This window comes from Homo sapiens, chromosome 20 (assembly GCF_000001405.40).
Source record: "Homo sapiens chromosome 20, GRCh38.p14 Primary Assembly".
Lineage (NCBI taxonomy): Eukaryota > Metazoa > Chordata > Mammalia > Primates > Hominidae > Homo > Homo sapiens.
Genome location: NC_000020.11, coordinates 34,616,351 through 34,629,980, shown reverse-complemented (window position 1 = coordinate 34,629,980; position 13,630 = coordinate 34,616,351). Strand labels below are relative to the sequence as shown.

Below are 13,630 nucleotides of genomic sequence, written 5' to 3'. Positions count from 1 at the left end.
TGTAATTTCTTCCACATCACCAAGTGATTTATTCTTCTCTCACCTGCTTTGTATTTTTTCACTATTGTGTTAAAGTTGGTTTTGCTATAATCTCCCCTTATTTTCTTTGTGATTTAATATGGTTTTAATCTCTTGTTTTCATTTTAATGAGATTTTTGGAGGGAGAGTTGATAAACACATGTGATCAATCTATTATTTTTAACTAAAAGTTCCTCTGTAAGCATTTGGGTTATATATTTCCAGATTTTTCCAACATTTTTCCCTCCAGACTTTTAAATCTTGTATCAATTAGCTAGTACCACAAAAATGTTAATAAACCATTCCAGAATTCAGTAGCTTAAAACAACAACAAGTGTTTACTTAGATCATACATCTGTAAGTCAGCAAGGAGTCAGCTGATCTAGGTTGGACATGGCTTGTCAGTTGGCTGGTTACATGGGCTTCATTTTCACGTCAGTGGCTGGCTGGAGTTGGCTAATCTAGGTTGGGCTCTGCTCCACATGGTTGTCATCCTCTTGGGCCAGGGGACAGACTTAGGTATTTTCTTTTCATAGCAATGGCAGAAGCACAATAGTGAGCAAGCCTAGTCAGGCATGCACTTTTTAAGTTCCTGGTTGCATCACATGTGCTAATATCCCATTGATCAAAATGTAACATATGGCCCGGCATGGTGGCTCACGCCTGTAATCCCAGCACTTTGGGAGGCTTAGGTGGGTGGATCATGAGGTCATGAGGTCAGAAGTTCAAGACTAGCCTAGCCAAGATGGTGAAACCTCATTTCTACTAAAAATACAAAAATTAGCTGGGCGTGGTGACAGGCACCCGTAATCCTAGCTACTTGGGAGGCTGAGGCAGAGAATTGCTTGAACCTGGGAGGCAGAGGTTTCAGTGAGCTGAGACTGTGCCACTGCAATCCAGCCTGGGCGACAGAGCGAGAGTCCATCTCAAAAAAAAAAAAAAAAGTTACACATGGCTGAGCCCAGGGGTGGAGATTTCCATCCTGTTCACAACAGGAAGGCACGGCAAAGTTATACAGCAAAGGGCCTGGACATGGTGGGGGGAAATTGGGGCCAATAATACAACCTACTACATATAACATATATCAATAAATGTCTGATCTATCTTGTTTTTTGAGACAGTCTCGCTCTGTCGCCCAGGTTGGAGTGCAGTGACATGATCTCAGTTCATTGCAACCTCTGCCTCCTGGGTTCAAGTGATTCTTGTGCCTCAACTTCTCAAGTAGCTGGGACTACAGGCACGCACCACCATGCCCGGCTAATTTTTGCATTTTTAGCAGAGACAAGATTTCACCATGTTGGTCAGGCTGGTCTTGAACTCCTGACCTCAAGTGATCTGCCTGCCTTGGCCTCCCAAAGTGCTGGGGTTACAGGTGTGAGCCACTGCGCCCAGTTCTAGTCTATCATTTTTAATGGCTGCATATTCATTTTATGAATATAGAAATTCTTTAACCAATGTATGTATCATTAAATATTTAGGTGATTTTCCAGTTTTTAGCTGTTTAAATATTACAATTAACTTTCTAATGTACAGCAATTTTTGCACTCATATTTAGTTATTTTCTTATAATGTCCTAGAAATAGAAATATTTGCCACTTTTTAACAATTTCTGGAATTAATTTATTGATTTTTTTTCCTTTTTGTGGATAATGGGGTCTCACTGTGTTGCCCAGGCTGGTCTTGAACTCCTGGGCTCAAGCTGTCCTCCCACCTCTACCTCCTTGAGTGCTGATATTACAGGCATGAACCACCACACCCAGTCAGATTTCTGGAATGTATTGCCACATTTATACTCCCATAAGAAGCGTGTAAGAGTCCTTATATTTGTACACTATTGTTAAATAGTTTGTGTACTCAGGAAGTAAAGAGTAAAAAGTTGTACATAGAACCTTTTACTTACAGTTTGCCTACCTTTTCTGGGGTGGCACCCGAGGATGCCTTAGGTCTTTATAAGAGATTGTTTCTCTTGGAATGCTTATGAGTGGTCTTTCTGTAGGCCTATTAGTTTAATTTATTATTGGATTACTTAAAATGGCTAGATATTGCATAGCCTGAATTGTCTTGTTCTGAAGATCGTGGTGGTCATTTTGTCAGAAATAACTCTTAACAGTAAATACTCTGCTGTCTGTGAACTCTCCCTGCCTTAATCCCTGTTTCCAGAGTGTCAGGTTCAGATAGGTTGTCATTTATCAAGGTGTCTGGTGTCCATTAAAATAAACAATATACGCAGCAGCCTGGCAGAAGGGACCAAGTACTGGCCTTTGGAAATGTCATCTTTAAAATAGCCGAGTGCAAAGATAGAGAAACTGAAGACATGCCCTCAGAAGGTGCATGTTTATTTGTTTTCCTAGGAGTCGCTCGTAAAAATGTAAAAGTATGCCATTAAAAAAAAATATTTTATGACCTGTAAGTCAACGAAAAGGTTTTTGTTTGGGGAAGAAAAACATGTAAGTAAGTTATATGTATCTCTTTCACAGCCATGGTTTTTTTTTTGTTCCACAGAGCAAAAAAAATTTTATATCACTCCAGACTTTTGTTTAATGAATTCATAGACATTTTCGTAATGTTATATACATAATTTTGTTTTACTTTTATCACTTATTTCATATGAATCATGTCTGACATTGGTCACATATTTGTCATTTCCTTTAAATTTAAATTTAATTTTGCAAGTAGTTTAAGCATTTGGTAAGAATAAAAGAAATTCAAACCTATAAATTGGAAAGGAAGTCTTTCATCACTCTGCTGCATGTCCACTTCAGTTCCTCTTGCGTATTTGTTATGAGATCCCAGCGCTTCTCTTTTGTTGGACATTTGTTTTCCATTATTTGCTACTATAAATAGAGACCCTCACAAACAACATTTCTAATCTGTTAAAATATTTGAAGAGTTCTATTTTAGCTAGGTCTCTGAACCACTCCAGCTCTTTGAGTATTTTAGTAATCTCTGCTAACAGTATATATAATATAGTTAGTTCAGTTATAACTTCTGCAAGTTATATTTCTACAGTTCACATTTTACCACATAATATTAATAAAATTATTTAATAAAATTAAGGAATAATTTACTTTTTATCCTAAAAAAGAAAATATTTGAGAAAATTCACAAGAAAAGGAATATAAATCACTGAAAATTATGGAAAAATATTCAACTCATGGATAATTAATAAAGAAAAGGCAAATTGAAATTTAAAAACTTTTGAAAGCTTTTTTTGTTTTTTGCCTCTGAAATTGGTAAAGATTTTAGAAGCTAATTCTCAGTTCTGGCAAATGTTCTATCAAATAGATATTCTCCCACATGGAAGTTGGCTGATAAATTTGTACAACCATGGGCAGTCTTAAAATGTTTGGAGTTTTTTTGGCCAGGCGCGGTGGCTCACGCCTGTAATTCCCAGCACTTTGGGATGCCGAGGCAGGTGGATCACCCGAGGTCAGGAGTTCATGACTAGCCTGGCCAACATGGTGAGACCCTGTCTCTACTAAAAATACAAAAATTAGCAGGGCGTGGTGGTGGGCACCTGTAATCCCAACTACTCGGGAGGCTGAGGCAGGAGAATCGCTTGAACCCGGGAGGTGGAGGTTGCAGTGAGCCGAGATCACGCCATTGCACTCCAGCCTGGGCAACAAAAGCGGAGCTCCGTCTCAAAAAAAAAAAAAAAAGTTTGGAGTTTTAAAAAATTTTATTCATTTATTTTTCTAACACTATCCACCTGGGGATAAAATGTTTGTAGTTTTGATTTTTATTCTACTTTTGAGAACCTATCCTAAAGTAATGCAGAAATAAAGACAGAAAGCTTTATGGTACAAAGTTATTAATCGCAGAATTATTTATAATCACTGGAAAAATTAGAAAATACTTTAGAGAGGAGTGGTTAAGTAAAATATGGTTTACCCATGTAGTAGAATATTATGCACATGATATTTAAATATAATTTTAAACTACATGAAAATAAATGTTTTTTTAAACAATGTAAAATTGTGTATGTGTGTATATATATATATATATTATATATATGTATTTTTTTTAATCTAATTTTGTTTTTTGGAGACAGGGTCTTACTCTGTCACCCAGGCCACTCAGGCTGAAGTGCAGTGGCACAGTCATAGCTCACTGTAACTTCACACTCCTAGGCTCAAGTGATCCTCCCACCCCATCCTCCCATGTAGCTGAGACGACAGGCATGCACCACCATGCCTAGTTGGGTTTTTTTCTTTCTTTTTTTCCTTCTTTCTTTCTTTTTTTTTTTTTTTGAGACAGAGTCTTGTTCTGTTGTCCAGGCTGGAGTGCAGTGGTGCAATCTCGGAATTTTAAAGGTTTTTTGTAAAGACCATATCTTGCTCTGTTGTCCAGGCTAGTCTTGAACTCTAAGCCTCAAGCAATCCACCTGCCTCAGCCTTCCAAAGTGCTGGGCTTACAGGTGTGAGCCACTGTGCCCAGCATTTTAATGAATCTCAACTATGTTAAAGCAACAAAAATAGTTAGAAAATAGATCCCAAAAGGATAATACTTGTTCCTGTAGATTAAGTTCATGGGTGAGTTTTATTTCCTTTTCGTATAGATATGTAGTTTTTTTTTTTTTGTTTTTTTTTTTTTTGAGATGGAGTTTTGCTCTTGTTCCCCAGGCTGGAGTGCAATGGCACAATCTCGGCTCACCACAACCTCTGCCTCCCGGGTTCAGGTGATTCTCCTGCCTCAGTTTCCCGAATAGCTGGGATTACAGGCATGCGCCACCACATCCGAATTTTGCATTTTTAGTAGAGACGGGGTTTCTCCATGTTGGTCAGGCTGGTCTTGTACTCCTGACCTCAGGTGATCCACCCGCCTTGGCCTCCCAAAGTGCTGGGATTACATGCGTGAGCCACCACGCCCGGCCTCATATGTTTTTTTTCCAAAGTTTCTTCAGTGAGTACATAATTAAAAACGAAATTAAATTAACTTGATTGATAAGACGATAGGGGCAGTGGAAGTAAACTTAGCAATGCTCCCCAGACTTCCATGGAGCAGATACACCACAGAAGGGAGTGACCTTGTTTGCTTTGTCCCCTTGACTCTTGCTGCTTGCTTTCCCCTGGCTTCCTTTGTGGCAGCCCAGGGTTGCCTGGGACACTCTGAGAGATGCAGGCCAGGACAAGCCTCGGGCCATTGTATTGTGATGTCCTTATTGTAGTGTTGGCTGGGGAACACAGGTCTTTGGGCAGGTTGATATTAGTTTAGTGGAGCAGCTTAAGTTTCGCTTTGAAGGCTGTTGCTTGGGCAAAGTGTACTCTGCCTTTCAGTGAGCTAATTAAAAACTCCTTCCTTGGGAAGTAGTCTTCATTAGGCTTTAAAAAGGAAAACAGACAAACAGATGCTAATAGATGGTCCTGCTTTTTCACCATTGGTGTTTGTCAACAGCGAGATATTCTTGAAGTTTGCCACCTAAGGGTTCTTCCAGCTTTCCTTATGCCACCAAAAAAGGCCATGTGACAGGACTTGCTTGCCAAGGAGAAAGAAGGATCAGTGCTATCAGAAGGTATTCAAGCATGATTAAGAGCCCAGGCTGCTCTCATGTTAGACAGATCTGGTGGCTAATCCCAGCTCCACTGTCTCCTGGCTCTATCACCTTGGGCAAGTCACTTAACAATTCTAAGCCTCAGTTTCCTTATCTGCAGCATGGGGATGAAAGAGTGTCTGCCTTATAGAGTGAATATAAAGAATGAATGGTATGGAGGCGTGTAATAACTGCTCAGATGGTATTGGTTGCTATTTTTAATAGTATCCTCCCTTTTAAAAGATCCCTCAGATCACTCGAGCCCAGGAGTTTGAGTGTAGTGAACTATGACCGCGTCACTGAGCTCCAATCTAGGCAACAGAGTGAGACCATGTAAAAAAAATTAAAAAATAAAAGAGACCTCATGATTGTTAGCATCCTTATAGGCCTTATAGGGAGACCTGGGAGGTTTCAATGAGGTTCTCTTCCTGGAGCCTAGCCTTAGAGGAACAATGGAAGAGTGATGATCCTGAGGCCTGGTGATCCCATCACTTCGAGTTGAGGTTCCTGTAGGCCAAAGCCCTGCCAATGGAAGGAGTCATAGAGGACTCAAGGACTCAGTTTTTGTCAGGTCAACCCAACTTCAAAGCCTGCTTATTCTAATTACCAGCTCTGTAGCCTTGAGCAAATCATGCAGCCTCAAGAGCCTCAGTTTGATCCCAGAATATCTACCTCCTAGAGATAGTGGAGGAATAAATAAGAAATATAAAATGCTTAGCGTGCTTCCTTAGCAGAATCCACTCAATAACTAGTTGCTCTGCCTATTGTTATTTTTATGGTGCTTGATTGAGATCAAGAGGGTGGCCCAGTGATGCAGTCAGAACATGGGGTCTGAAGTAAAACCATTTGGTTTAAATCCTATTGCTCTCATTCACTAGTTTCGTGACCCCAGACAAATAACTTCTCTGTCTTTCAGTTTCATTATCTGTAAAATGGGGACAGTAATTGTACCCACTTCATGGAATTATTGAGAAGACTAAATGGCTTAAGGCAAGTAAAGTGCTTACAGTCATGGCTGGAACAGAGTAAGTGCTCAATAAATTATCATCGTTATCACTGATATGTACGGATTGCTCTGAGAGAGGCTGCCCCGTTAAAAGAACACACTTGGCAAGGAATGTAATACATTGGCCCTGCCCCCAGGATCTCCTCCTCCTCCTGGGCAGTCTCACTTGTTGCCCCACACCCTGGTGCAACTTCCTTTTCTGATAGTCCTGTGGGACCTGAGCCCTTTTGACTACATTCCAGTGCGTTTCTGCCTGTCTTGGTATAGATCATCACCTGTGACCCAATCTCTTTATTCTCTGATTACTCCACTTGAAGTCCCTGTCCTGAACCAGTCCCCATGGCCCCACCTCATTACATTCCTGCTCACTCCTGTAGCTGTGCCACCCACCCAGGCCCAGATCGCTGTGAGGTGCAGTCCCTGGAGGCAAAGTATTACCCCCGGTCTTGCTGAGGCTTTTGGCCCCCACCCTGACACAAATAGAGAGTTAGAAAACATAACATATTCAAAGCTAGATTGAGTAGATAATGAAATTTCCTGATACTACAGCCAATGTACATACACATTTGACTGATTTACTCTAATATCCCTAGGATAAGGCTAAATATCAAGGCTTATATAGAAAGCCTAGTGCCTGTGCATCTGGGCTGCCCTAGCAAATGGTAGGTTATATCATTTTGGGGTAAAACTCTTAGTCCTCTTGGCACAGTTCCTTCTGGTTAGGCCAGCGTGATGCCCTAGCTCTTGCCCACATGAGGCTGCCATTTCAGACATGATTTCAGGTATCCTGTCTGGGCCTGTAGGTAGATGTTTTTGGATGACTGTGCAAGCTTAGCCCTCCGTGATCTGACTCCTACCTGCTTGCTGAGACTTTTTGGATTGTAACTTTTTTTTTGTTTTTGTTTTTTTTGAGACGGACTCTTGCTGTGTCTCCCAGGCTGGAGTGCAGTGGCGTGATCTCGGCTCACTGCAACCTCCACCTCTCAGGTTCAAGAGATTCTCCTGCCTCAGCCTCCCGAATAGCTGGGACTACATGCGCCCGCCACCACATCCGGCTAATTTTTGTATTTTTAGTAGAGATGGGGCTTCACCATATTGGCCAGGCTGGTCTCGAACTCCTGACCTTGTGATCCACCCTCCTCGGCCTCCCAAAGTGCTGAGATTACAGGGGTGAGCCACCACGCCCAGCCGGATTGTAACTTTTTATTGAAGTATGACATATATACGGAAAAATGTATAACTCATTAGTGTACAGATACGTGAATTTTCACGAAACGTTGAGTAACCAGCACCCAGATTAAGGAAGAGTGGTACCAGCATCCACGGGAGCCCCTTTTGTGTTCTCTTTCCTGTCACTCCTCCCAGCTCTTGCCCTGTTTTGGCTATATTGAGCTAATTACAGTACACACAGCCCCACCCCAGCACACCATTCTCTCTTGCCCTCCAACCTGTGCACAGCCTTGGACTGCCCAGCCTCACCTACTCATTGTTCAAAACTCAGGTGTCAGCTTCCCCTGATGGGCTAGGTCTGCTTCCTTTGTACTTTCCTCCTGTATTTTGTAATTGTTTACTGGGAGCTCCCTGAGGACAGAGACTATCTGAGTCACCAGGTTTCCTGGCACCCATCACACTCTTCGTATAGAGCAAACTCCAGAAATGTTTGCTTATTGCACAGTTTGTTTAAAATATTTGAAGTCACTTCTCACTTTCCTTGATCTTCTCTGACTCTGCCCCAAGCACATATCATTCCTCCTCTGCCTTCCTAACTCCTTTTTACCCCTTCAAGCTTTTTTCAAAACACATAGCCCTTTCTGAGTCTCCTGCCTGCCTCCATACTCACCCTCACTTTTGCTCCGGCTGTGCGTCCGCCCTGTCCACACCTGTCCCAGCATCCCACACTCAGACTTCCCACACACCAACCTACTGACTGTTGCAGCACTGTGTTTCTGCCCCCAGACTGCAGGCCTCAGCCATGCAATAGTTTACTCCACAGAGAGCATTCTCTGTGCCAGCCCTCTGCCACAACAAACCCTCAACCACTATTCTTCAGGCTCTGCTTTATTTGAGTTAGATTTATTTTGTGCTTTGCCTGTGTTCATGACTCTGTGTATTACACTTCATAAGTTTTTCTTCCTCAAGAACATTGGTTTCCTTTAATATTCTCATATTTTTAAAAAGGATTTCATATGTATTGCTGAATGATATTCATTCATTCATTTCTTCATTTGTTCATTTATCACATGTGCCAGGAACTGTACTAGGTGCTGGAGAGCCAAAGTTAAGATAAATGTGTTGCCCTTGAGAAACTCACAGAGAAATGGGGAGAGAGAGAAACATATGCAGATTATTATAAGATAGCATCAGTATTAGGCTTATTAACACAGGGATTAAGAGTGGGTACCGGAGTCAGCTATGTGGTTTTGGTCACATTACTGAAGCTTTCTGTTTCTGTCTTGATTTCTTGACCTGTAAAATGGGTAGAATGTGTGGTTTTTATCTCAGTAAAGCTGTTCTAAGAAGCAGAAATAGAGCTTTCACAGGGCTGTTGTGATGTTTCCTGAGGACCTTTTTGAGTCAGGAACTGTTTTTTTTGTTTTTTTTTTTTTGTTTTTTTTTTGTTTTTTTTTAGGTGGAGTCTTGCTGTGTCGCGTGCAGTGGCGCGATCTCGGCTCACTGCAAGCTCTGCCTCCCGGGTTCACGCCATTCTCCTGCCTCAGCCTCCCGAGTAGCTGGGACTATAGGCTCCCACCACCATGCCCGGCTAATTTTTTGTATTTTTAGTAGAAACAGGGTTTCACCGTGTTAGTCAGGATGGTCTCGATCTCCCGACCTCGTGATCCGCCCGCCTCAGCCTCCCAAAGTGCTGGGATTACAGGCATGAGCCACCGCGCCTGTCCAAGTCAGGAACTGTTCTTGATGCAGAGGATACAGTACAGTGCCTGGCACCTAGCAAGTGATCCATAAATGTCAACTATAATCAACGGTTGTTACCACCTTTGCTTGGGCTCATAGACAAAGTGACCTTTCACCTGGCTATCAAACGAATGCTTTCTACTAGAAAGCGGGCAGAGAAGGATGGCTTGGGCAGAAGGAATAGCCTAAGAACAGACACAGAAGAATGAAACAGCATGATGTTTTCAGAAATTGGGAATAGTCCAGTGTAGCTGGAGGACAGGGCGTGTGTGGAAGAGTGGTGAGAGGTGAAACTGGAGAAATGAGACCCAGTGGTGAAGGGTCTTGTTTGCTGTTGGAGTTTAGACTTAACCTGATAGATGAAATGGAACCATCAGAAGTCTTTAAAGACTGGCTAGCCACAATCTAAACTGTTTTAGAAGGTTCCTTTGGTGCTTCTGTAGATGGACTTGGATGGGAGGTGGTTGGGAGACCGCTAAGGAGGAGGGGGAAAAGCTGCTGGAGAGAGATGACAAGAGCAAGAACTGAAAGGATAAATGCTCCAGGGGTGGATCCACAGGGCTTGGTGACTGGTGGAAGGAAGAACATGGGAGCTGAAGGGTGAAGGGTTGCCAGGGTATCTGGCTAGATGTTGATGCCAGTTACTGACAAAGAATAGCAGGAGGAACAGATTTTTCCTTCCCAAAGACTACTTCAGTCTATGGAAGGAAGACTGCTTCTTCCTGATCCTAGGAGCAAGTATTCTAAAACTCACAAGTCCATTTGGCTAGGCTGTGAGCCTCTTTTTCTCTCTTGGGCCTCATAAACAGTCAGTTTCAGACAAGCAATTATTAACCTCAGGCAATTAGGGCAAGAGATGGCTGTGTTGATTTCACTCCTTGTGTCTCCTCTGGGAGAGACAGGAGAAAGTCATGTGTTTGTTTTCACCATGCTATAGGAATGGATGGAGTTGGAGCATTAGCCTCCATCCTCTAGTAACAGACACATGGGCCTCTTCTCTCGCCTGCTTTCAATCCGTAGAGAACCAGGTTAAGTTAAAAAGTTATTTTCAGTGTTTTCCCTCTCTTGGCCAGTTTCCCACCAAAAAATCATTCAGATTTTTGACCCAATCAAAGAATCAATCCCTAGCCCACCCTAGCTGTTGGGCTCCAGAACAGCACCTTTCCTACTACTGCCACTGCCCTATCCCAGAGTGACCTGGTTCTGAGTTTAGAGTCTGTGGCTCAGCAGATGTGTGCTTGCCACTGCTGGTGTCACAGCTTAGCTGGGCGTGATCCTGTTCCTACACAGTCATATTTATGAGTACCCTGGATACAGGACATCATGACTGGCACTGTCAATATGGCGAGACAGCCCCCCTTCCCATAGAATTCTGTCCTATTACTTCTAGCTTCTCTCTTTCTCTGCCTCCCTTCTACTTTCTGTCAACTAGGGTTGTTCTAGCTGGTGAGTTTCCTTGGTTTGAAGAATAAAGCACACAAAGTTCTTTTCTCTCCACTCTCTCGTCTGTGACATTGTCACATTTATAACCGTCTGTCCTCCAAGGTAGTTTTTAGATGTTTCAAGTATACAGACCACTTTGGTGGTGAAAGATCTCATCAATAATCTCTTCCTGTTTGTCTCTAGAGCTGGATTAGCAGAGGGGTAAAACTCCTTGGACTGGAGTGACTAGTTCCTCCTTTTATGAAACACCATTGAGAGGATGTGTTATTTTTATTTTTTTATTTGAAACAGGGTCTTACTCTGTCACCCAGGCTGGAGTGCAGTGGTTCAGTCTTAGCTCACTGCAGCCTCAACCTCTAGGGCTTAAGTGATCCTCCCACCTCAGCCTCCTAAGTAGCTGGGACCACAGGTGTGTAACACCACACCCAGCTTATTTTTTTATTTTTATTTTTGTAGAGATGGGGTTTTACTATGTTGCCCAAGCTAGTCTGTAACTCCTGGGTTCAAACAGTCCTCCCACCTTTGCCTTTCAAAGTGCTGGGATTACATTTGTGAACCACCATGCCCCGCCTGTTATTTTCAGTAAATAGTTGACCCCACACTAATGAGAGTGAGCATGGGTATTGTCATTTTAAAAAACATCATTACAAGACACCTGTTGGGCTTTATATCTTGGACCATCAGTTGCATCCTACTGATTTCTGGGCCACTTGGAAACTCCTGTTGTAAACTAGGGCTCTCTATCCTTAGTTTTAGAGTATCCTGTTGTCTTAAGCCATCTGAAAGGGAATAGCTATTTTTTCAAAGAAATTAGCTTTTTTCTAATGACAAAAACAAAGCATGTTCATTTTAGAAAGTTTAAAAAATGCAGTGAAGCAAAAATGAAAAATTGTTCATAATTCCACTACCCAGAGATAACCACTATAAACTTTGTGGCCTTAGGTTTTAGTCTTCTATTTATTTATTTTATTTTTTTTGGTAGTCCGAGACTGGGCAATTTACGAAAGAAAGAGGTTTAATTGAACTTATAGTTCCACATGGCTGGGGAAGGTCTCACAATCATGGTGGAGGGCAAAAGGCATTTCTTACATGGTGGTGGCAAGAGAGAATGAGGAAAAAGCAAAAGCGGAAACCCCTGATAAACCATTAGATCTTGTGAGACTCATTCACTATTACGAGAATAGCATGGGAAAGACCAGCAACTCCCATGATTCAATTACCTTCCCCTGGGTCCCTCCCACATTACATGGGAATTCTGGGAGATACAATTCAAGTTGAGATTTGGGTGAGGACACAGCCAAACCATATCATTCTGCCTCAGCCCCTCCAAATCTCATGTCCTCACATTTCAAAACCAATCATGCCCTTCCAACAGTCCCCCAAAGTCTTAACTCATTTCAGCATTAACCCAAAAGTGCACAGCCCAAAGTCTCATCTGAGACAAGGCAAGTGCCTTCCGCCTGTGAGCCTGTAAAATCAAAAGCAAATTAGTTACTTCCTAGATACAATGGGGGTATAGGCATTGGGTAAATACATCCGTTACAAATAGGAGAAATTGGCCAAACCAAAGGGGCTACAGGCCTCATGCAAGTTGGAAATCCAGCAGGGCAGACAAATCTTAAAGTTCCAAAATGATCTTCTTTGACTCCATGTCTCACATCTGGGTCATGCTGATGTAAGAGGGGGGTTCCCATGGTCTTGGGCAGCTCCACCCTTGTGGCTTTGCAGGGTATAGCCTCCCTCTCAGCTGCTTTCACAGGCTGGTGTTGAGTGTCTGTGGCTTTTCCAGGCCCACGGTGCAAGCTGTCGGTGGATCTACCATTCTGGAATCTGGAGGACAGTGACCCTCTTCTCAGCTCCACTGGGTGGTGCCCCAGTAGGGACTCTGTGTGGGGGCTCCGACCCCACATTTCGCTTCCGCATTGCCCTAGCAGAGGTTCTCCATGAGGGCTCCGCCCCCTACTGCAAACTTTTGCCTGGACACCCAGGCTGGAGTGCTGTGGTACAATCTCAGCTCACTGCAACCTCTGCCTCCCAGTTTCAAGCAATTCTTCTGCCTCAGCCTCCTGAGTAGCTGGGATTACAGGTCACCACCACTACGCCTGGCTAATGTTTGTATTTTTAGTAGAGACGAGGTTTCACCATGTTGGCTAGGCTGGTCTCGAACTCCTGATCTTGATCTGCCTGACTCGGCCTCTCGAAGTGCTGGGATTATAGGCGTGAGTTACTTTGCCTGCTGGCTTTTCGTCTTTTAAAAAATGTTTGTGCATTTTTTTTTTATAAAATAAATGATAATATATGTCTCTTTTATAAACTTCATTTAATAGGATATTATAAACACCTTTCTAAGTCATTGCAAATTCTTAATAGCCTCATGTTTAATGATTCCATAGTAGTCCATTTTATATAGGAAGTGAGGACATTACTAACAAAATTAATATACTTTCATTTGAAAAGAAAAAACGTGACCTAAATTGATGCAGCAGGTAAGGAAGGGCTGTTGTAAAGAGTGATAATGTTGCAACAGTCAAAGGGATGGGTTTCCAGCTCTGGATATCATAAGCAATAATTGTAGGCTTAATAAATTGGTACATTAGATAGGACATGGATGTTAATAGACTTGATCCCTTTATACATCTTCGGGTTGAAATTTTGTAAAATCGTTCTGGGTCTCAAAATTTTATAAGAATTATGCCTGTAGTGTCTCAGGTTGCCAAAGG

General features: G+C 42.4%; 1 protein-coding gene across 2 annotated transcripts in view; it reads left to right on the top strand.

Moving 5' to 3' along the window:
* The window catches only part of PIGU (phosphatidylinositol glycan anchor biosynthesis class U), a 116,551-nt gene that overhangs the window by 47,112 nt on the left and 55,809 nt on the right, over positions 1–13,630 (top strand). The gene's annotated exons all lie outside the window — the stretch shown is intronic.